This window comes from Homo sapiens, chromosome 6, assembly GCF_000001405.40.
Source record: "Homo sapiens chromosome 6, GRCh38.p14 Primary Assembly".
Lineage (NCBI taxonomy): Eukaryota > Metazoa > Chordata > Mammalia > Primates > Hominidae > Homo > Homo sapiens.
The window spans coordinates 152,526,279-152,551,144 of NC_000006.12; the positions used below are offsets into that span (position 1 = coordinate 152,526,279).

The following is a 24,866-nucleotide window of genomic DNA, read 5'->3' on the forward strand; positions in this document are numbered from 1 at the left end:
GAGGCTTCTATATACTTTAATTCTTTATTTTGGATTGAGTTGCCAATTGCCTTTCGATAACTGTGAGAAGAAAAACAATCCAGTGGAGATAAAACTCGATATTCAAAAACCTCAGAAGATTTAATGCTTGAGCCTTAATGTATGTACCAGCTTCTTTCTAGAAAGTGATTTTTGACAAGGGCAGGATGGTGTGGGATAAGGGAAGGAAAAGAGGATACTATCAACCTAAAAGATAAGAGAGAGATTATAGCAGGACGTAAAAGCAGAGCAAGAGCTGCATGGACCAACCTCAGCTTAACTTTGTGCAAGACACATTACTGGGGCTTAACAAGGTGCAGCCCTTCTATAGGACATTCTCACCACAGCAACCTCATTAGCTCAGTGACCTGCTAGAGGAGCACTGTCAGCAGAGCTAAGGTTGCAGGTTCAATCTTCCTGTGGGTTAGTTAGCTGTTATGTTGTGTTCTACAGCCTGGTGAATCTAGCGAACCTTCTTTCAGTGTGGCATTGAACCCAAAAGATCATAAGCACAAAAGTACAGACCGATCAGTGCAAATCTATCATCGCTGCTGGAAAAATAAGCCAAAGACCACCTTTAATTCATGGAGCATCTTTTATTTTTTTATGAAGGTTATTAAAATACTCAATATATGGGAATTCATCAAACATTGAATTAGGGTCTATCTTGGCTCAGGAGAAAGTAAAGAAGCCATTATGCCAATGTTGATGGTCAATAGAGGGGAGGTGTTCACTGATTTATCACAGAATCAGAATTTGTTTTCCATTTAGCATCTGAATTCAAACTTTATAGCTTTCTGATTCTTACTGAATCTTGTTAAAGGCCTAATGCTCAATTCCTGACTTTCAATGTTCTTTCTTTCTTTAAAAAATAATGTGTTCTATGTAAGAGATTTAACTCCAAATGTTTGGTTGGAATGTAACTTTTTTTCTCTACCAACTGATGTAGAGCATTTATATTTCTCTTACAACTGCATGAATTATAATGTCTGAATAGTACAATTCTAAGTTAAAATGTATTTTTCTCTCATTATAAAATGAATAGCTGAATACATTTTGTTCTCATGCTGTGAAATACATGTTCAAAAATAACAGAGTTTTCATTTTTGATCATTCTCTTTCAAATTCCACCATTCACGCTGCTTCTTACTTACATAGCAAAAATGTAATAGTGACTTTATATTCTAAGCATATAAATAAAATTCATCAGAATAAAAGAAGCCATTACAAAGAAAACTATTTGGTGCAATAAGAATCAAAATTATTGTTATTAGCCATATACGGTCATTAAAAATGCAGTCTATTTATCATTCAAAGTAACCACTTGTACCCAAATTATTTAAATCAAGCAAAACAATGAGGAACAAGTTCATAAATGTTTGATACATTCAGTGAGCAAATGCAAATAAAATTTTTCATGCATTGTTATAAATATGCAAAAAGTAAGGAAAGCAGGGAATTCTCATAAAATAATAAAGATTTCAAGAAATTTTGCACCCAAAAATGATAAAATGCACATCTTCATCTGTTTCGATTTTAAAAATACACAGGTGTCTGCCACTTTGAGGAACACGTCCTCTCACCTCACTTCTGCCTCTCTTCTTTCCCTCCTCTGTTGCTACTCATGCTGCAGGTGCTTTCCTTTTCCCTCCAGCTGTTCCCTCCACAAGGCTCCTGGAATTGGCCTTCCGATCAGCAGCGACAGCTGAACAGCTCAGCAGCCTACTGGCCCCTCTGCATGGGACATTGCCAATACCATTCTCTCCCTGATCTGTTCCTACCCAAAACTCTGTGACCAGACTGCCTAGTTCACAGCCCTTTCTCTTTCTTTCTCCTCTCTTCTTCCTAACCATGGCCATTCACCACTCAATCCTGAGTCCTTTGTTCTTTACAAATTTTTTTCTGCTTATACATGACTCTTAAATCCAGGTAAGCGACCTCTCCTAAACTTTGTCAAACATGTGGCAGGCACTTCATATCTATTGCTGGCTTGCTGGCTGACTGACTGACTGAATGAATGAATGAATGAATGTAAATATTGTGTGAAGCCAATAAAGAGACTTTATTACACCAGAATAAAAAAAATTAGTAATTACTGGACAAGTTTTGCCATCCAGTTTGTATAAGGTATTCTTTATATATACCAAACAATCAGTTAGGGGGACCTTTACTATGATGACTACCTCACATTTAATTTTTGGAACAATATTTTAATAGAAAATCTTTCAGCTAAAATATTTCTCCTGTCACATGTACAAATATTTATACCACCAATATGGTGACTTTGATAAGACTTGGGTCATAGTGCTGAAGGTCAAAAGGGAGAGTTAGAGATGCAGATAATTTATTGGATCTTGACTTAATGGAAAATAAAGATGTGACTTGAGCTGGCTTGTGTCCATGCCAGTATATGTTAGATATGTTAGTACATACGATGCTTCTATTATTACGTTTTTAGTCTTTCTTAAATTCACTTTTAGAAGTTAATAAAGTTAGTGTTTCTAGTACAGTAGCAGGCACTTCAGCTGATCAGTCAGTACTTTTTCTATTGATAATAAATATGAATTACATTTATGGGTTTGTGTATTATTCAGGAAAAATTAATGTTAATACCATCATTTTTATACTAAGCTTCCTGTCTAACAAGGTGACTCAAAGTATAAAATCCTGGGCTCTAATCCGAGTCACTTAGTGTCTCTGAGATTCAGATTCCTTGCTTTTAAAGAGAGGATGGTGTTCCCATAGGTAGTGGCTGTGAATATTAAACAAGATAGCAGGTAGGAGTCCACAGAATAGCACTCAGCACACTTAGATGTTTAACAATATTTTATTCATTTTTCTTCTCTTCCTATTTTATTATCTTTCTCCTTTTATCCTTATGAAACACTCACTAAATTTGAGTAATATCTAAGTCATAGAAATACCTACTAAATATTGGAATTTATATATTGTATGTAGTCTATAGAAGGACTATTTTGTCATAATTACTTTATGCATGAACATTTTTTATTTCATATATAATACTTAAATGTGAGAACTTCTTAAATTTTCATTTCATACTGTATGTGAGTGGCCTGAGCTGGGCCCATCATATTCTCTGCTTGGGTCCAGAAGATGTCTGGGATTACATTGTCCCATGGCAGTGACCTAGGGACTAGTGTCATCAGGTCATGCTGCTGAGGTCCCAAGAGCCATTCTGACTGTCCTTCTCACAACTGGGTTAGTCAGTGTGTTGGGGGCTCCCAAGAACACTTTCAGGCTTGATGATTCACTAGGACTCAGAACTCAGAAGTGCTGCTGAACTCATGGTTACAGCTTATGACAGCAAAAAGATACAGATTATAATCAGCAAAGCAAAAAGACACATGTAGTGAAGTCCAGGAGAAACTATGCACAGTCTTTCAGAGGTGAATGACCTCTCCCTTCCCAGTGGAGTCACATGAGGATGTACTTATATTTCCTAGCAATGACATGTGACAACCCATGTGAAGTGTTCCCAACCAGGGAAGTTCCCCCAGGTCTTAGTGTCCAGGGTTTTACTGGGGGGTCTATGACATAGACAAGCAATATCCATGTGACTGACCTCAGCTACTCAGCTCCAGCTCTCTCCCACACCCTCAACCCCAGCAAAAAAAAAGTTAACCCAAATCACATTATTAGCATAAAAAGATCTATCAAGGTGGTACAGTATTGCCAAGGCCCCAGGACAAACAAAAACTGATGTTCACTATAAATATAGTGTGGCTCAAGGTCTCAGGCATAGAAAACCACACTACTGGGGCAGAATATTCCAAGGGCTCAGATTATCTCCCAGAAGCCAGCCAAGGTCTATTCTTAAAGACAGGCCCGTCTTTGGAACACAGCATCTGAGCACCGCAGGCCTGCTGAGTTAAGTCTGTCTTGCCCAGTTGGCTTTTCCTTCTCATACTTTGAGACAACTAGTAGCCTTTCAATAGCTCTTTCTTCTTGGTTAAATCATCTAAAATTAATTTTATTTACTTGCAACAAAATGAGGCACAACTGACGTGTCTAATTTCTTAGTGTGTAAACACTATTCTGAGTGTAACAATTTAAATATCAGTGTCTCCCCACTCCCACTCACATAAGTGACCAAAAGTAAATTTGTTCTGTAAAACAGAAGTGCATATCTTCAGAAGAACCTAATTGTATGGTTTTTTTTTTTTTTTTTTTACTAAAACAGTCCCCCTTTATGTGCAGTTTCAATTACCTAGGGTCAACTGTAGTCTGAAAATGTTAAACAAAAAATTCCAGAAAGAAACAATTCATAAGTTTTAAATTGCACACTGTTCTGCATAGTGTGATGAAATTTTTTTTTTTTTTTTGAGACGGAGTCTTGCTCTGTGGCCCAGTCTGTAGTGCGGTGGCACAATCTCGGCTCACTGCAACCTCTGCCTCCCGGGTTCATGCCATTGTCCTGCCTCAGCCTCCCAAGTAGCTGGGACTACAGGCGCCCACCACCACACCCAGCTAATTTTTTTTGTATTTTTAGTAGACACGGGGTTTCACCGTGTTAGCCAGGATGGTCTCGATCTCCTGACCTCATGATCTGCCCGCCTCAGCCTCCCAAAGTGCTGGGATTACAGGCGTGAGCCACCACATCCCGCCGTGTGATGAAATCTTAAGCTGTCCCTGCCTGGGACATGAATCATCCCTTTGCCCAGGGTATTCATGCTGTCTACTCAACCTGACCCACCTGCTTGTCACTTCATAGTTGTCTAGGTTATCAGATCAACTGCCTCGGTATCACAGTGCCTGTGTTCAAGTCATCCTTATTTTACTTAATAATGACCACAAAGTGCAAGTGTACTGATGCTGTCAATTTGGATATGCCAACAAGATGCTGTAAAGTGTTTCCTTTACGTGAAAAGATGAAAGTTCTCAATAAGAAAATGAAAAAAAAAATTTGAGATTGCTAAGATCCATGGTAAGAATAAATCTTTTATTTGTGAAACTGTGAAAAAGGAAAATTGGCTGTCACACCTCAACAAAAGTTACGGCCAGAGTAAATGATAAGTGCTGAGTTAAGATGGAAAAGGTGTTACATTGGTGGGTAGAGGACATGAACAGAAATGTGTTCTAGTGGATAGTGATCAGGTTCAGTACTGTCTGTGGCTTCAGGCATCTACTGGGGACTGAGACATGTCCCTTTTGAATGTAGTTTAACTTTTTAATTTTTAAATGTGCTAAAATACACATAATATAAAATGTGCCATGTTAATCTTCTTAAGCATACAGTTCAGTAGTGTTAAATATTTCCACATTATTGTGCAACTGATCTCCACCATTTTCATTTTGTGAAATTGAAACTCTGTACCCATTAAACAACAACTAGCCATTCCCTCTGCCCTTCAGCCTCTACCATTCTACCATTCTATTTTCTTTTGAATGATTTTGACTACTCTGGATACCTCTTATAAGTAGAATCACACAGTATCTGTCATTTTGTGACTGGCTTATTTCACTTATTATAACGTCCTCAAGGTTCATCCATGTTGTAGCAGGTGCCAGAATTCCATCCTTTTTAAAGGCTGAATCGTATTCCATTGTATGGATATACCACATATTTTGCATCCATTCATCCATCAATGGGCATCTGCATTGTTTCCATTTTCTGGCTATTGTGATTAATGCTACTATGAGCGTGAGTGTATTAATATCTCCTGAAGACCCTGCTTTCAATTTTTGTAGATATATACCCAGAAGTGGAATTGCTGAACTACATGTTAATTCTATTTTTATCTTATTTTTTGAAAAACTGACATATTGTTTTACATAGTGGCTGCTTTGTGGAAGAATAGAAACCTACTTTGAAACATTACTAGCATATCATCACTGTATGAGGTACAAATTTCTACAAATCTTCTACAATCTTAGAATCCGTATTGACCAATATCATGCAGCTATAAAGTAGATTTTCAGTATTAATAATTTAGTATTTAACAAAGAAAATGATAAAATCACCTGTCTCACACCAGGACCATCTAGGACCTCATTTGCCATCATCCATAATCACTTTTAGTCTTCTAGTAAATGGTTTTTACTTTTGAGAAAAGAGCTCTCAAAACATTTTATCATCAAAAAAAGCTACAATATTTTACTTTAAACTACTAAACACATATCCTATGGCTTAATATTTGTGATTGCTAGGTACCTAGTGATACCAATAAAACTGAACCAGAAAATGCTTAGAAGAATAGCGCATGCCACAGTTAAGTATTTACTTCAGTTGAGGCACACACACTATTGAGCACAGTCAGGGTTGCTGAACAGGATGAAGAGTCATGACCTGAGATAGTCACAACATTTTCTTCTGCAGAGCATGTAGGGAGGTCTCAAGGCAAGGGTTGACTCTCCATGTGCATTCTGTGCACCCTTGAAACCTCTGTGCACAGAACGACCCATAACTTGTAGAACCAGATAAACCACTACTTCTGGTTTATATAAGTTTCAGGTAGGAATTATTTCACAAGCTAAGAGATTGTATATGTAGAAAAATTCCCATCCCAGGACCAGTCTGGAGTTTTGCATGCTCTGATGATTATCTTCTGGGTGGGAACAGCAAGTTAAACAACAGTAATATAGAGAAGTGGGAAGGAAGAGAGGTTAACCAGCAGATATGGAGCAAGTGACCTCCCCAAAGGTTGGCAAAGAACCCTCCACAGTATATGTATCAAAATGCCAAAGTATCCTTGGACCAGATCAAGTAAATCATGATTATAACCACTGACAGTAGTCAAATAAAATTAATGTCCAACAGGTTTTGTCATTTTATTCAGCAAATCTAATTGAATGTTTCCAATATCTTCAGAAACAAAGTGTAGTAATTTAAAAACTGTATGTGTAATCTGCTTCTCTTTCACTGCCTTTGTAACAGCACTGTTGTGATCATTTTCCACTTCTGCTTGGCAAAGGTGGGAAGGTCCTTCCCATTCTTTTTTGTTTCCTGTGACAGATAGCATAATCCTTTCCACTTCCTCGATTATTTAATTCAATTCCGAATAAATATTCCAAAGGCAATAATTGCCCTCCAGCTCAGCTTTAAATCTGCTTGGAAAACTCAGCTCTCAACAATTTTCAGATGTAATAAAGTTTGTTTTACTATATAGTATAAAAGCATTATTGTACCAAGTTATTTATTTGGTACAAGTTGGGGTTACCCTTGACTCCTCTCTTTTGCTCACACTCAATATCTGATTCATCAACAAATCTTGTTGGCTTCATTTTCAAAAGTCTTCCAGTATCCAACCACCTCTCATCACCTCTACTGCTACTATCTTGGTCCAAGTCACCAGTACCTTGGCCAGATGGCTTCAATAACCTCTAACTTATCTCCCTCCTTCTGCCCTTGCTTCTCTTCAGTCTACGTTCAGCAGAAGAGCTTCTTGATCTTCTTTACTGTCCATCTCCCCCATTAGGATATAAGCTTCATAATGAGATGGTTATTTTTTTTTCTGTTTTGGTCACTGCTACATTTTCAGCACCTAGAATATTCTCTAGCTTATTAAACAGCATTTTAAAATATTTGTTGAATAAATGTATGATAAATAAAATATATTTCTGGTTGGGCACGGTGGCTTACAGCTGTAATCCCAGCATTTTGGGAGGCTGAGGTTGGTGAATTATTTGAGGTCAGGAGTTCAGGACCAGCCTGGCCAACATGGTAAAACCTCGTCTCTACTTAAAATACAAAAACTAGCTGGGCATGGCGGTGGGCTCCTGTAATCCCAGCTACTCAGGAGGCTAAGGCAGGAAAATCACTTGAACTCGGGAGGAGGAGGTTGCAGTGATCCAAGCCATGCCACTGCACTCCAGCCTGGGCAACAGAGCAAGACTCTGTCTCAAAAAAATAAATAAATGAATGAATGAATGAATGAATGAATGAATGAATAAATAAATAAATAAAATAATATATTTCTAAAGAAGGAACTTTGACAAATATTAATATTAGCAAAATGTTTATTAGTCTGCATAAACTTTGTGAGATCTAGATCTTTGTTATCCATAAACTAATATATTCTATAAATAAATTAACAAATGCTATTCATTTTGAAATGGGAATTTTCCTTTATAACATTTTAATTACATATTTGGAAATAACTAATTTATTAGAATGTTTAGGGTTGACAAATTAAATTATTTTTTCCCTGGCTTTATTAAGATATAATTGACAAATAAAAATTGTATATATTTGTTATATAAGATGATATCTTGGTATGTGCATACATTGTGAAATGATTAAATCAAGCTAATTAACATATCCATCATCTCACCTACTTATTGTAGCTTGAGAAAAACAACTAAAAAATTATTTGGGGGGGTGAATTATTGCATTTACCTTTTCCTCTTTGCCTCTTTATCTTCCTGTCTGAGCTCATTAATAGTCTCACCAAAATGTGTACAAGGAAACAGATGGGAGTAAAATTCTATTCGGAACATGTTTCCATGTTATCTTTCAGCACTGCTGGTGGAAAGACAACTAAAGAAGATGAAAGCCACCACTAAAGTGATATTTTATGACTATAAAGATGTCATTTAAATTCATGATTAGCATGGATTTGTTTTTAGAAAAAACATGGAAAATCCAAAATGTTCCTTTTAAAAGACTGTATGCATCTAACTTGGTATTAAAACAAAATGTGCTCTTAATGGAATCTGTTATAGGTTGAATTGTGCCTACTCACCAGAGATATGCTGAAATCTTAACCCCCCAAAATGCTGCAGAATGCAGCCTTATTTGGAAATAGAGTCTTTAGAGAGGTAATCAAGTTAAAATGAGGTCATTAGCATGGGTCCTAATCCAATATGACTAGTGCCCTCACACAGTGGTGAAATTTGGACACAGACATGCACAGAGGCAGAGACTGAAATAATGCAGCTACCCAGAGACTTAGAAGGAGCCTGGCCTTCGAGTCTCCAGAACTCTGAGATAACAAATTTCTCATTTTAAGCCACCCAGTATGTGGTACTTTGTTACGGCAATCCCAGCAATTAATAGGGAACCTAAATAATGTTTTATAAATTTTTTTTCTGCAGTTTTTCTGAAAAGTGAGAAGATGCTCATATCATGCCTGAGTTCATCCCAAACACAGTATTTAAAATGTTCAGTGCCTTTTGTTGATGGCTCCATAAATTTTAGGCTGACAGAAGGATAAAGGACTGCTCATTCTATATTGAAAAGAAGCTCCATTTATAGAAACACTAAAACATGGCTATTTGAGACCTATTTTTCCTCAAAGGGCTTAGTGACAAGCAATCTATTTATCTCACAGTCAAATATCATAAGATTGAATCAAGGGTGTTTAAATAAAGATACAATATTCCATTCTATTTGATAAAATGAGAGAAAATATGAAACTGCAAGCATTTGATAATAGAAAATAATCAATATAAATATTAAGATTGCTTATACATGCCTAATTTTAAACATCTAACTTTTTACAAAGGGTTTTTAAAGATTGTTCCCTTTGGGTGGCTGAAGTACTAAATAACTACAACAGTCTATGAATTTTATATAAAATGTAGGAATTTTTTAAGATATATTTTAAAATGTGAAAGAACTATTTTTAACTGTCAAATTTTAAATATATTCATCGTAACATAACTTCTTTGCCTAAAATGCAAGGCCTATGCTGTTAGGCCTAAGACATCCATGGTCATTAGGTGAGAATTCCTTCAAATTTAAGTCCATGCCACCTCTGTCTTCATCTCTCTGCTTATCCCAAAGTTAGACACAGCCACACCCACTTTCCTATTCCCAATGCTAGTCTCAGAGAAGGGGAGATATCTCTGCTCTGGAACAAACCTACACCCTCCACCTCTGCTCTTGATTTCTTCTCTCATTCTGCCTCCTCGGGCGCCTTGTTCCTTCAGAATCCCATTCATTGCCTTCTTTTTCAGCCTCTCCCTCTCTACAAGCTCTTGATCATTCCCTTCTATACAGATGCAGGCTCATGACCACCCTTTATTAAAACAGCTTTTACCAAATCCAATGTTCTGCGCCAATATATATAGTAATATATATATATAACTATATATATAGTATACTAATATATATATAGTAATATATATATATTTATATATATACTATATATAGTAATATATATATTTATATATATAACTATATATAGTAATATATATTTATATATATATACAATATATATAGTAATATATATTAAGTGTACTAACATCCTTACCTCTCATTTACTCATCAGCTCGCTAGAGTCTAGTTTCTACTATAACATGGCCACTCCCAATGGCGGCCAATGACTTCCAAACTGCCAAATCGAATGGGTTCACCTTTACCAACTAATTTCTCCTTCTAAACTGAATTTCCTAGCTTTCCCCCCAAGCCTCTTGTATTCCCTATATCTGTGAATAATCTCAATCATTTGCTCAAGTCAGAAATCTAGAAGTCATTCTTGATTCCTTCCCCTCCAAGATTCCAATTAATTACTCAGTTCTATCAAGTCCACTCCTAAACATCTTTTCAGTCTATCCATTTTTCTCCATTTAAGCTTAGAACTCTAAGCTTCTGGTTCATAATCTACAAAATAATAAAAATAATGCATTTTCTTGTGTGAGGGTTAAATAAATAAGAGATAAAGTTGCTAAGGCACTGTAATTGGCACGTGGTAAGAATTTAGGAACATGTTTTCTCAATAAGTGCTGATAAGCTAGATGTGAGTCAGAAACTTGACTTTGAAAAACCATCACTAAAAATCAATATTGGGCTAATTTAATAAAATACTCCACCTTCTTTCATTAACAGAGCTAACAGAATAGAAAGATACTGGTTTCTTCTTGAAAAGTGAGAAAATTATAGGTTCAATGTCTAACAATAGAGCCCCATCCCTGAAAGAAATTATCAGGTATATGAAATAACAACAACCCGCCAATTGTTAATGTTATATCAACAATTTGTGATTTGCAATGTTTTACATAATTGGAGAAGCATTAAGACTTCAATTTGATAATAAACATCAAAAAAGAACAGATATTTATACCCACAAGTTTTAATGATCTAACATTTGTGTAGTAAAAATAGAATAAAAACACAAACACAGAAAATCCTTAGGTTTTTTTCTTACTTATAATAAGATTTTTGTTTTAAGAAAAGCATATTTTTACTTATAATAATTAACAAATGTAAAAAAGAAAAAATAATAAAAGCATGTTTTAAAAAACAGATTGCAATCTTATTTGCATACTATCTCTTCTTATTGCTATCATAATATTTATAAAGAAATGTTACACTAGAATAAAATGTCATCAGTAAAAGATTTTTTATTTAATTAAAAGTCAAAAGTATATTAATTTGCAACTGAGCAAAGCAGTCAAGCACAAAAATAAAAATTCCTATTAAAAAGTGCCCCTAGATATACAATCGTGTCATCTGCAAACAGGAACAATTTGACTTCCTCTTTTCCTAATTGAATACCCTTTATTTCTTTCTCCTGCCTGATTGCCTAAGCATCTTCTGAACAGCTCCCAGTGCTCCCAAGATAGAAGAACTTTAGGAGAAAAGGATCAACTTCCTTTCTTCTCAACTAAACATCCCAGCTCTTAAACCTGCCACTACCTATTATTAAAGCTATATTTGGAAATGGTAAATTTAACTCATAAACGGTTTGGTTGTCAGTTTATCTGAAAACATTCCAAAGCACAGAGCTATGTATACCTGGATTACCATGCAAGGAAACATCAAACATGAAAGGGGAGACAAGCTCATCACTGCCATTATTCCAGGGTTGAGTTCCAACCTCTAGCTATTAAAAACTTTGAAGGGTGTTTTAATAGTGCAAGGAAATGGGGATTCTTAGAAGATCTTAGAATATATTAAAATCATAATTGTGCATAGCTGTTGACTACCTACTTCTAGAAATTTATCCTAAGAAGAAAATATCATACAAGTGTTCAAACAACGTATACCAGGACTTTCACTGTAGTATTTTATATAATATGAAACAACTGAAAACCACCTAAATAACCCTCCACAGGCAACTGGCTAACTCATCACAGATAAACATGACAAAGTTTATTTAGCCATTACAATAATTACATAGTTCTATCTATTGTCATGGATTGACGTGTTGGGTGAAATAGAGGCTCCAGAACAATATCCTATAAAACCACTTATATGAAACTGTGTGTAGAAAAGTGTTGTCCAATATCTTAATGATGACTGTATCTGGATTATGTGATATAAGATTACTTTTACTTTCTTTACACTTTCTAAAAGTTTCATTATTAATATTATTTTCAATTACGTAACCTCTGTACACTATGAAAAAATAATAACTCTTTTCATTTTGAAAAAAAAAAACAAAACCTTTTCCCCAATCGATGACAATTCCATAGTACAAATAGCTGCCAGATGGGACCAACGGAAGCTTTAAAAAATAAGCCCCAAAGTCATCAATCCTATGTATCCACTGCCTTTTTACAGAGCAGATTGTGGGGCAACTACTGGGCCAAATTCCCTTCTCATCAAGTGCTGTGGGGAAGAGAGCATAGGAAAGATGACCCTGGTTTATCCTATATCTAGACAGGTCGCTCTAGGCTTCTTTCATGGCTGGATTGCAAGCTTCTCGGGGCCTGGGAAAGTGTTTTACTAATTTTTTCCTGTCTTCAAAGGCTAGCGCAGACACAAAGTAAGCAGTGAATCTGTAGAATGGGACTAAAATCAACTGTCATGCTTTGTTTGCTTCTGCGCTATCAAAATGGCTTTGGGGAAGCCCCTGATCAAAACCTGCTTGTAGGGTTGGGCTTTACATACTACAGGCACCACTCTCAGCAAAAGTGAGAATAAAAAATTTGAAGATAAAATTGTTTTATCATCTAATTCATTTAACCAATTATTGACTTGAAGGGAGAGTCAACATAACTTCCACTATATAATCATATAGACTACTCCTTTAAAAATTATCAGCAAATCCTCTAACTGAATTCAGACACAATTGTCCCATCATCTGAATTTATTTTTACAAATATGATGTCTCTTGGCTTGCTTATTTTTTCATCAGCAGTACAAGAGATTAATTTTATTATACTGTATCAAGATTAAGATTTATTTTATATTAGCATTTATGTTCAAAGACATTATAATATATAGACATATAGTCACCTAATATCAGTGAATGACAGAGTGGATAATACTAGAATGATTTTAGCCTTTTCATGTCCTATTACCATGGTTACTTTTTTAAATCAAAGCACCAGAGATGAGAGCACTGATACTATCATAATATCTTTAGCTAAAATCTTTTGCTTAGCATAGATCACTTATAGCTTCTTTGTGTTCCAAATAGGAACAAACACACACAAACAAAAATCCAGCACAAATTCTCCTTTTGATATGACACACACATTAGTATTAGAAAAAATAATTGGATGAAATAGTTTCTCAAGATTCACAGAATTGACATGAAGTAACTGCTCTTGACTCTAGCTATAAGTTCATTTCTTCCCAGAAGCAATGTTAGCAAATTCCACTCTTAGGCAACAGCTAGACCAACCAATAAGATTACAGTATCATTGATTCGCAACAGTGACAACAGGGACAGAAGCATTTTGTTATACTGGACATTTAATGATTTACTGGCTCAACCTAAGTAAACCTGTAATGCTGGGTAGTTTCCTTTACCTTGGCCAGATGAGAGTTGATCCATTTTGTGAAAGTTCGTTTTTGTACTATCTCTTGCTCATCTAGAAGGAAAAAGAAATCTGGTTAAATAATGTAATATTTCATGAAGCTGTATAATGAGAAAAAGTCCTATTTACACAAATCTGGAAGGAATCGTGAAATCGTTTTCTCATTCATTTTACCAATTATTGTCTTGAAGGGAAAAGTCAACAAGAGTCGATCTACATAATCATATAGACTATTCCTTTAAAAATTATCTGCAAATGCTTTAAAATTTGCCATTTGTTAGCCCTATGTTTACCTTCATCCACTTACTTAAAATTCACTGATGACTTATACTTCAACAAAGCTGTTAAAAATGAAAATTCACCAAGACCACTAAGTGCTGAATTTTATGCTAAGTGCAAAGGAATACAGAGGGTTGAATAGGGCAAGGTCCCTGCTATAAAATATCTAGAGGTGGAAATGGACAAGCAAGGGCTATGAATAGTAAAGGGTTACACAGTAATGCAATAAGATAGAGCCGTATACATGAAGCAAAAAAGGAACTTCACCCAGATGAGAATGTGGTGACTACACACTGGAGTGACCTCCAAAAATTCCCACCACATGGAGTCCCCATTTTTGTGTCGGCAGAATGTGGGTAGAACCTGTGATTTGTGTCTAGCCAATAGGATATGACAAAGGTGATGAGATGTCACACTTGTGATCATGTTACTTTATGATACTCCAGCTTAGCTGACTGGAGTGAGAGATTCTCCTGCTGGCCTAGAAGAAGCAACCAGCTAGGCTGTGAAGTTCCTTTGCAGAGGGTCAATGGCAAGGAACTAGAGGCTCCCTTCAGGAGTGAAGTGCAATCTCAGTGAACAGCCAGTAAGACACCAGGCCCTTGTCAAACAGTCACAAGGAATGAATTCTGTTAACATTGTGACAGAGCCCAAAAGTGGATTCTTCCACAGTTGAGCATCCAGATAAGAATGAAATCCAGCTGATGCCTTAGTTATAGCCTTGTAAGACCCTGAACAGATAATGCAGCTAAGCTTTGCATGGACTCCTGACATGCAACCATTTGGAGATAATAAATGATTGTTGCTTTAAACTTCAAGGTTTGCGGTACTTTGCTATGTAACAAGAGGAACTAATATAGAAAGGAAAAGAGGTAGGGTTTGGATAGGCTTTAATTAGAGGTATAAAGAGATAATAATGATGTTGGTAGTTTGACAGGAACAGCGTTGAATCTGTAGATTGCTTTGGGCAGTATGGATATTTTAACAATATTGATTCTTCTCATCCATAAGCATGGGATGCTTTTCCATTTGTTTGTATCATCTATGATTTCTTTCAGCAGTGTTTTATGGTTCTTCTGGTAGAGATAGATCTTTCACCTCTTTAGTTAGATGTATTCCAAGGTATTTTATTGTGTGTGTGTGACTATTGTAAATGGGGTTGCATCCTTGATTTGGCTCTCAGGTTACAAGTTGTTGGTGTATAGAAATGCCACTGAATTGGCCAGGCGTGGCGGCTCATGCCTGTAATCCCAGCACTTTGGGAGGCCGAGGCAGGCAGATTACGAGGTCAGGAGGTCAAGACCATCCTGGCTAACACGGTGAAACCCTGCCTCTACTAAAAATACAAAAAATTAGCCGGGTGTGCTGGCGGGCCTCTGTAGTCCCAGCTACTCAGGAGGCTGAGGCAGGAGAATGGTGTGAACCTGTGAGGCAGAGCTTGCAGTGAGCCGAGATCGTATCACTGCACTCCAGCCTGGGCGTCAGAGTGAGACTCCATCTCAAAAAAAAAAAAAAAAAAGAAAAGAAATGCCACAGAATTTTGTACATTGATTTTGTATCCTGGGAGGGGGTGTGGGTTGAAAAACTACCTATTGGGTAATATGCTCACTAACCGGGTGACGAGACCATTCATACACAAAACTCAGCGACACACAATTTACTCATGTAACAAACCTAGACATGTAACCCCTGCACCTAAAATAAAAGTTGAAAAAAAAAGAGAGAAAAGCCACACAGAAGTAGTTTAATACCTTCAAAAGAAGAATTGAATTTTATCCACCCCACCAGCATGTACTGAGTATCAGCTGTTCACAAACTAGTAAACGCTATGTTGTGGGGGACATACACAAGAAATAATTTCAATCCCTCGCCCTTTGAGGGATGATACCCAAATCTCTGTCTTTGTCTCTGACCTTGTCTGTGCTTCAGCCCAGACCATTTGCTTGTCTACTAGAATGTAAAGCCCAGGAGGACAGCAACTTGGTTCCCAATGCCTGCAAGTATGACCAATAAGAATGAATGAGTAAAGAAAATAAATACAAAACCTTTTAATTTGGAGAAATTTTGAATCTATCTATAAAATTGACAGAATCCATGACCTCTAATATATTTTAACATGCTCATTAATTTTCAAGTGTATATAAAAAACAAATTGGTATAAAAATAAGTAGCACTTCCTATATACCAGGCACTGACATTTAGATAAATCAATCACTTGATATTTTAATTATCATTTATTTATCATTATATATTACATGTAATATTATATAAGTATTAATCCATTAATTCTTGTCAAGATCTATGAGCAGCAACTATTATAATGCCCATTTTACATATAAAACTGTCAAGACACTGAACTACCAAGGTCATCCAGCAGCACAGCCATGTTGTAGACTTCAGATATCTAGTAGTATACTATGCCATTATACTGTCACTCAAGGGTAGCATAAAAATTACCACATTCATCTATCAAATATTAATCTCATGAAAATTATAAATTTATAGTTCAAATTTTTTGACCTGAGAATCTTTAGGTTGTATAAATAAAGTTAGGTAGCGGCAAAATGATCTTAACCAATCAAGGTAGGTTGGATGGAATTTGGAACTTTATAATGCATAAAATCCAATTCAAAATCTAAAATAGACACAGTTAGATTATATGTAAATTGTTTACACTCAACTTGAGATTATACATTCTTTTATAAACATCACAAAATACCACTGTTTAAAAATGTTAATATAAATTGGCATAATATGTTAATGTTATACTGTCATAAAATTAAATATATAATCTGATGATATATTACTTCTTAATATAAATTGTTATATTTTCACTATTATAACCTTTAATGAAATAAAAATAGTATTGTAACAATTTCATCTGATGGTAAATCTCTGAGTTTATAGTTAGACTTCAGCTAAATGGCCTTTTTTAGAATCCTCAAATTATCTTTTTTGTAGCACAGCATATATTTAAATGTTAAATTCTTTACGTGTTTCCTTTTTTACTATGGTTGCAAAAACAGATTTTACTAGGTCCTACAATTCACTTTTTGTATTATCAAACGTAGTCAGCTGAATTCTAGGTAAATATTTTTCTGATTTTACTTACTATTTTCCTGAAAGAAAAAAATTGTTTAATTTAATTATTCAGCAAACCCTCATTTTTTATGTAAAACTTGAAAACCTTACTCCCAAGATTTGGTAGTTAAATCTGATACCAACAACATAAAATGTTCAATTTGTGGAAGTAACAGAAACATGCAACGAATGTCTATCAACTTGTGTTAAAAGTTTAATGAACAATAACATTTCTTTTTAATGCTGTTGACAGGGAACAAAATGAACCTTCACGACTAGGTCTATAAAGTTCTTAAGTACAGTCATGCACTGCATAATGATTTTTTGGCCAATGACGAACCTCATAGATGACAGTAGTGCCATAAGATTATAAACACAACTGAAAAATTCCAGTTGTCTAGTGATGTCCTGCCATTGTAGGGCAACCCATTGCTTTTTCTATATTTAGACATGTTCAGATACACAAAATACTTACCATGTGCTACAATTGCTTACAATATTCAGTACAGTCACATGCTGTACAAGTTTGTAGCCTAGGAGTAATAGGCTATATCATGTAGCCTAGATGTGTAATAGTCTATACCCTCTAGGTTTGCACAAGTACACCCTACAGAGTTCCCACAATGATGAATTCACCTAGAAGACAAATTTCTCAGAATATAACTCCATCATTAAGCTACACATGACTTTATATGTCATTATATTTAAGAAAACAGTTTAAATATATTTAACAAGTAACAACTTTATTAACAATGTTTCTGTCCTCAGCTTTTCTGCTTAAGAAGAGTTATGAGAATTCAGACCAATTGCAAAGGCATCGTAAAATGGATGAGATGACAGCAGCGTCAGGGTAGAGGAGAGGTGTGGCTGGGGAAGCCACACTACAATTTGGGTGCTGCACAGCTGTGATAGGCTCTGATTTAAGACCAGTTTTTGGTGTGGGTGATTATTACTGGGTAGAATTGGTTCACATTCTCCTTCTCTCTTATAACCTAAATCGTAAATGGTTCCTAAAGGCCAGACCGTGTAACATTAAAAGCAACAACCACAGAGGAGTTCCAAATACTCTCTGGGTCCTTCATCCTTGAGGCTCACATTGCTTGTATTTCAAAAGCAGTTGGTCCTACAGGCCTCAGGAATTGGAGTCAGCTGAGGCTATATAAACACCTAGCTCTGGGTAATATTATACCGTAGTATCCCTCCGTAGAAATGAGTTAAAAAAAAAAAAGGGTTCTGGCTCAGGTATTCAATTTCTGCATTTCTTTGCCCATTTTTAGATATTTTCTCAGTGTTTTGCCATTTCAGGGCAAGATCATGACATACAACAAATGCACAAATGAGGCCCAATTTAGCAACTGTGATTCCATTTGACTATTAGGAAACTATCATAACTGATGACAGTTCACATGGTTTTCTTCCTGATGAGTTATACTAATAGTCACCTGCGGGTACTGCACAATTGTGGTTTACTCTAGGTGACTTAAACATGCACCCGGAAGCACAAAGATCATAATAAAAGGTGGCTTGGGTTATTGTGCAGCCATTGCAATCAATCACAAATAATATATTGTCTAGAAACATGTTAAATATACTTTTAATTTTACCTTACATAACAAATGTACCAACTAATATGTGATGTAAAACTGTGTCACAGGGTCCTATGACCACTGCCTTTTAAATAGATTTACTAAATTACAAAAATGTTAAAATACATGACAATATCCACTTAACAGATGGTATGTTTAAAATTTGGACAGTAAATGAAATTAGTATATTTTAATATATTGAATACATTCTTCCATAATAATTTATTACTGAGTGATATAGCATCTCATGTATCAGTATGTACATAATAATGCATAATGTATTTTCATCAGAATCATAAAATATCATAAAGAGCAAAATAGTAAATGTCTAGAAGTATCCATCTGTAATTAATATCACATTTAATATATATATTACCAGGAAGAGTCCGGGTGCTGTGGCTCATGCCTGTAATCCCAGCACTTTGCAAAGCCCAGGCAGGAGGATCACTTGAGGTCAAGAGTTTGAGACTAGCCTGGCCAACATGGTGAAACCCTGTCTCTATGAATAATATAAAAATTAGCCAGACATGGTGGTGGGCACCTGTAATCCCAGCTACTCGGGAGGCTAAGAAAGGAGAATCACTTGAACCTGGGAGGCAGAGGTTGCAGTGAGCAGAGATCACGCCACTGCACTTCAGCCTGGGTGACAGAGTAAAATTGTATCTCAAAAATACATAAATTAATTAATACTAAGAAGAAAGAAATGCTGTTTACATAATTATATATAGGTAAGCATGAAATTGCAATCTCTGGCAAAATAAATACATAAATAGTACCATGCATTGATACATTTATAGGAGCTTGCAATAGGTTATGATAAACTTTTTGGGGTTTTATTTGCAGATTGTTATTATGCCTAATAGGTTTCTTTAATGATAATGATAGCTTAAATACATGTCTTAAGGATTTAAATTATCTAAAAATATAAATGTAAATGTTCATTTAAAACAAATCACACATTTAAAATCACATTATTCCTGGTAGTATCTAATAAAGATTTTTCATCATTTTCATTGCAGGCAAATACACCTCAATAAAATATTGGAATGAAATTGAAAAAATAGACAAATGCAGATTGAATTTCTTCCCACAACCAAATGACGTGAATACAAAGGGGAAAACAACAGCAAAGGCATACAGTGACAAGGTAATGATTATTAATTACCAAACACAGTCAAATGACTTGATTTGGGAACAGAATTATATTATCCGGATTGCATATCTACAATTACTAAAATTACCACTAACTTTATTATATATGGGTAGGGAATAAAGTATATTGAATAGTCCAACACAAGAAAATGGACAATTTACAGGTGCTTATAACTACTCAATGTTAAGATTTTAAAATTGAATATATAAATGAAAGACATTTACAGGACCAGGCTGTGGCAGATTTCCAAATATGACCATAAATTCTTCCCATTGTGATCAGCGCATCCTTTGCAATGTGATTTTATTGCCTCTTCTCTTAGGAGGTGGTCTCATTTCCCCAGACCTTGAGTCTGGGCTGGCATTGAGATCTACATTGATCAATAATATGACAGAAGTGATTTTAAGTGACATCTGAGGCTGGGCCTTAAGAGGACTTGAGATTCCACTTTGGCTATATTGGAATTCAACTCTGCTCTGAGACCTCTACACAAGGAAACTGGTCTAAGATCCTCGTGAATAAGAAGTCACTTGGAGGATAGATTCTAAACCTCAAGAATAAGAAATAAAAGTACAAATTGGTGTGATGAAGGTATATTCCTATTTTTGGGGATTGGGAGGCTTTACTTATTTTTAAAAACTCTATTGAGGTAAAGAGTTAAGCTGTAACATACTTCATTGATTTCCTCACCCTTTTCGGCTCTGTTTTACTATATCCCCTAATTTGTTGGTTGTGCTAATATTTGTAGAAAGAGGTCTTGTATTTGCTGCATCATAATGACATTTGTACTTTTTTGACTGGTTTAAGTACAAATGAATGAAATAACCATTTTTCCTTTAGTTGACTTTACCCTGATTTCACCTAGTGTTTCAATGAGTAAAAATACAGCTAAAAGAAAAGAAAAGAAAAGAAAAAAAGTCACTTGGAGGAGAACTGAGGTACCTCAGATGGCAGCCAGCAACAGCTGCCTGATACATGAGTGAGCCGCCCTGGACCTGCCAGTCCAACTGATACCCCACCAGCATGTAGCCATGTGAATGGGCCCAGGCACAGCTGGCAGAAGGAACACCCAACTCACTCACAGAAACATGAGAAATCCTAAACTGTTGTTGCTCCACACCACTAAGATTTGGTGGTGGTTTGTTGCACAGGAAAAGCTAACCAAAACAGAAATTGCTACCAGGAGTGTGGTGTTGCTCTAACAAAAATCTAAGACATATGGCATTGGTCTTGCGACCAAATAGGGGAAGGAGATTGGAAGGACACAAAGAGCCTATTAGCGGAGGCTGATTGGGCAGTGAGGGAACCGCCATTGGAAATTGGAGAAAGAGCCGTACATATTTTGTACATTATATATTCTGTCACCTGCAGTAACTTGAACTCATGATTCTGGCTAGGGAGATTTCCTTGCAGAATGCTGAAAGTGTCAGTTGGCTTCTTTTAGCTGAACATTATAAGGTGCTGGAAGAGACAGAAATGAGCTGTTTCATTTGCAGACACAAGGCAGAGGAAACACAGAGGCCTAGGATATGATGGACTGAAAAATAAGATATTTTCTTATTCCTAGTCTTTCCAAAAAAAAGATTTGCAAAGTAAGAAAACGCTTCAGGGTAACAGCAAATCAAAGGTATGAGTATTGTTGAAAACTCAGAAAGAGTTTGACTTGTTTAAACTCCACATATAAATGATATCACACAGTACCTTTCATTCTGTATCTCACTTATTTAATTTAGCATAATGTCCTTCAGGTTCATCCATGTCATTGCAAATGGTAGGATTTCCTTATTTTTTTATGGAGGAATAATATTCAATTGTATGTGTGTGTCATGTTTTCTTTATCTGTCATAATGGATGTGTTAATTGACTGTGGTAATCATTTCACAATTTATATGTATATCAAATCATCACACTGTACAACTTAAATATATGTAAGTTGTATTCATCAATTATACCTCAATAAGGCTGGGGAAAAAAGAGAACATTTGGAAAGATTTAAGGTAGTGCCCAGTTGACCTTCTCAACTAGACAAACCAGCTTCTAAGAATCTTTAGGGCACTGCCCACAGCAGCCTCATATGTGTCCAATGTTTGTTTCAAAGCTGAGATTTTGGGGGCACAGAATGCACTACAGACAAGTTTTTAGGAAGCCAGCTTTCACTGAAGGGACAGCACCACTCCAAATGAACAGGAGACTGGAACCACAACTTTGTGTGTCTAGGAAGAAGGCTAAGAAAACTATCAGTTGCAATCTTGAGCCATCTCTTACCAAGATAGCAAGGAACATGCCTTGCCCCTGGACAAAACGAACTGGCCACGTGTGGCTCACTGGATTTCAGAATGGCTGGACCACAATTGCTCCCTCTGTTCAATTCTCTCACTCCTTGGACAGAAGCATCTATTGAAGTGACCCCACTCCTGCCTCATCACTGCATGTTGAAGAAGTGGGGAGCAGGTAACTTCTCTTTTTAGTTAACGGGTCTATGGATTGAGAGAAATTTCACCTGAGGAACCTCATCTCTATCTGGACAAGATGCAAACGATGCAACACAGGACTTAGAGCTTGATGCCAAACCAAAGGCTGGAGGAGACTTTTGATACCTTGAGAATGGATGAATGTACTTTCCATGCAGAAAGAAAACAAACAGTAGTGACCAGAGGACAGATTTTAAATTATGGCCACAAAATCCTGTGGTCCAACTATGCATCCTTCTTTTGTATGGTGACTTTGTCCTTCCCATCCAGGGGTAGAATCAATTTCCCTTCCCCTTGAATCTGAACTCGTATGGTACTTGCTTTAATTAATAATGCAGCAGAAATTACTTTATGTCATCTGATTCTAGGCCTTAAGAGGTCGTGAAGTTTCTGTTTTAGCTGTCTTGGATCTCCATCCTAAAACCACTGTGCAAAGAAAGCAGTTTATATTAGAAGATGTTTCCATCTGTGGAAGAATTCAGATGTCTCATTTGTTACCTAGAACTAACCACCAGGCACGTGAATGAGGTCACCTTGGATCTTCAAGCTCAGTCAGCCCTGCAGATGAACTCAGCCACAGGTGAACCCAAGTGAAGTCAACAAACTGAGGCCTAAGACTTCGAGACTGATGTGTCTGATACCTCCTCTCTCTCACATCCATACATACTTGATACAAATTCCTTGTAGGAAGAAAGCATTTTCCTCAATATCGTATTCCTAAAGATCAGCCCCCTGCCTGGTATATTGTCTTATATATGTGTCCTTATGAAACCATCCATATTTAACTGAACTAACCAGCAAATCCACATACTGTGAGAAAGCATGAATTCTGATTGGCTTAAGCCACAGAGTTTTGGAGTAGTTTGTTACACAGCAAAGGCTAACTGAAATAAAGGCATTTACATGTGTGGGGGGGCGGTGGGAGTGGAGGGGTCCTTCTCCTCCTCCCTCACTCTGTTTTCCATAATGAAAAGATTCTAGGCTTATTTCTTTGGGCCTGTCTCCTAGGCCTTTCCTGTTTTAATCAGACAAGTAATGGATTAAAAGTTGCAAAGAACAAGGGCAACCAAAGTTACTCTGCATGAGTTCTGACATGGATTGATGCGAAGGGACAGACGAGAAGAGAGAAAATTAATAGCTATCTACAGCTGTGGGCTTGAGGGAAAAGATGAGTTAAGAGAATTTTTAGGGAGTCTTGCCTGTGTTGAGTCCTCTAATGACTGCTTCAATTTTTTTTTCAAGTGAATGTCAGTAAAGACTTACATTGCTCTTAAGACTTTCAGAATTGGAGTTGCATTTCTTTTGTATTTAAAACCAGTGGCTAGATTGAAAGAGCCCAATTTCATTAAAGTTATATTTGCAAAATGTAGTATCATTTCACTTTAAATCTAAGGCAGATGGGATGAAAGGAATATAATTATCTCCGTTCCTAAGTTACAGTTGCTTAACCTCAGCAATATTGACATTTAGGCAAGATGATTCTTTGTCGTGGGAGGTGGTCTTGTGCATTATAGGATGTCTAGCAATGTCATTGGCCTTTACACATTAGATACTGGCAGTACCCTACACCCTAGTGATATATCTATTTGAAAAGTGACAAAATATAGTAAATCTAAGACTTTTGCTGAAAGGTTACATAGAAATTACACGATTTTTCCAATATGAATTAAAGTATCTTATGATGTCTGAAATTATGTCATTCAAATCTGGAAAGTTTGGTCTCATGTGGTGGGAAGGTATAAGTGGGAGAGGGTGGATAGATCTGATAGTGTGTTTGATTTATCTTATAATTCTTAACCTCTAAAAAATATTTTAGAACTATATAAAGCAAAATCTATTTTTTAAAAAACAAATATTTTAAAAATATTACAATTTACCAAATTTTAATGTATTTGTCACAATGGTGGCAGTTATATAAGGACACATATATTAGAAAATGTGCTAGGCACTGGGTTGGCTTCTAGGGTGACAACAATGTGGAAATGCTTTCATCTCACGAAGAATTTGTCATCTCGTATGTATGGGGGTGTGGGAGAGAGGAGGGGACAGATGCATCAGCCTTGAAGCCTTGGATGGGCCTCAGTTTTGTAACTTTGTAGTAAATAATTTGGTAGCAAAAAATTGACCTGAATTGAGAAAAGACTATTTATAGTCTTTCATTATTCCACTTAATGTGAAAATTCATACTTTTCTCTGCAGAAATATCAACGTCTTTGATTGCAAGGTGCTGCCACAGACTCTGATTGAGAGTGAACCATAATAAATAGTATGTGCACCGTATCACGTTTCTAAAATCCAAAAGATTCTGAGTTTGAAAACAAAGCTGGGGTCCTTAGACTTTCGGATAAAGGGTTGTGTGAATCACACAGAAGTGCAGGGATGGAGATGTGCACTCAGAGAGTAATAATCACAATAGAGAGCACAAAGCAATCAATACAGTGGGAGGAAAAACAGCACAGCTTATTGTGGCACTTCAAACCTTTTAGTTCTAAATCAAGACCACATTTGAACAGTTTCAAGCAGAACTTTTGTGGATTTTTTCCTGACACCTTTTCCTTCCTCTATTTGTGGATATAATGTTGCAGGAGACAATGATCGGATAGTAAA

At 36.1% G+C, this 24,866-nt stretch overlaps 1 protein-coding gene and 1 pseudogene across 46 annotated transcripts in view; one reads left to right on the forward strand and one right to left on the reverse strand.

Annotated features, from left to right (window-relative positions):
- Positions 1 to 24,866, reverse strand: part of SYNE1 (spectrin repeat containing nuclear envelope protein 1) — a 515,676-nt gene that overhangs the window by 404,592 nt on the left and 86,218 nt on the right. For all 46 annotated transcript variants that reach the window (XM_047418508.1, XM_017010610.2, XM_017010609.2 and 43 more), the window contains one exon: positions 13,682 to 13,743. In XM_047418508.1, the coding sequence (XP_047274464.1) occupies positions 13,682 to 13,743 (62 nt within the window). The remainder of the gene's footprint in view (positions 1 to 13,681; positions 13,744 to 24,866) is intronic.
- Positions 20,319 to 20,687, forward strand: NANOGP11 (Nanog homeobox pseudogene 11; annotated as a pseudogene).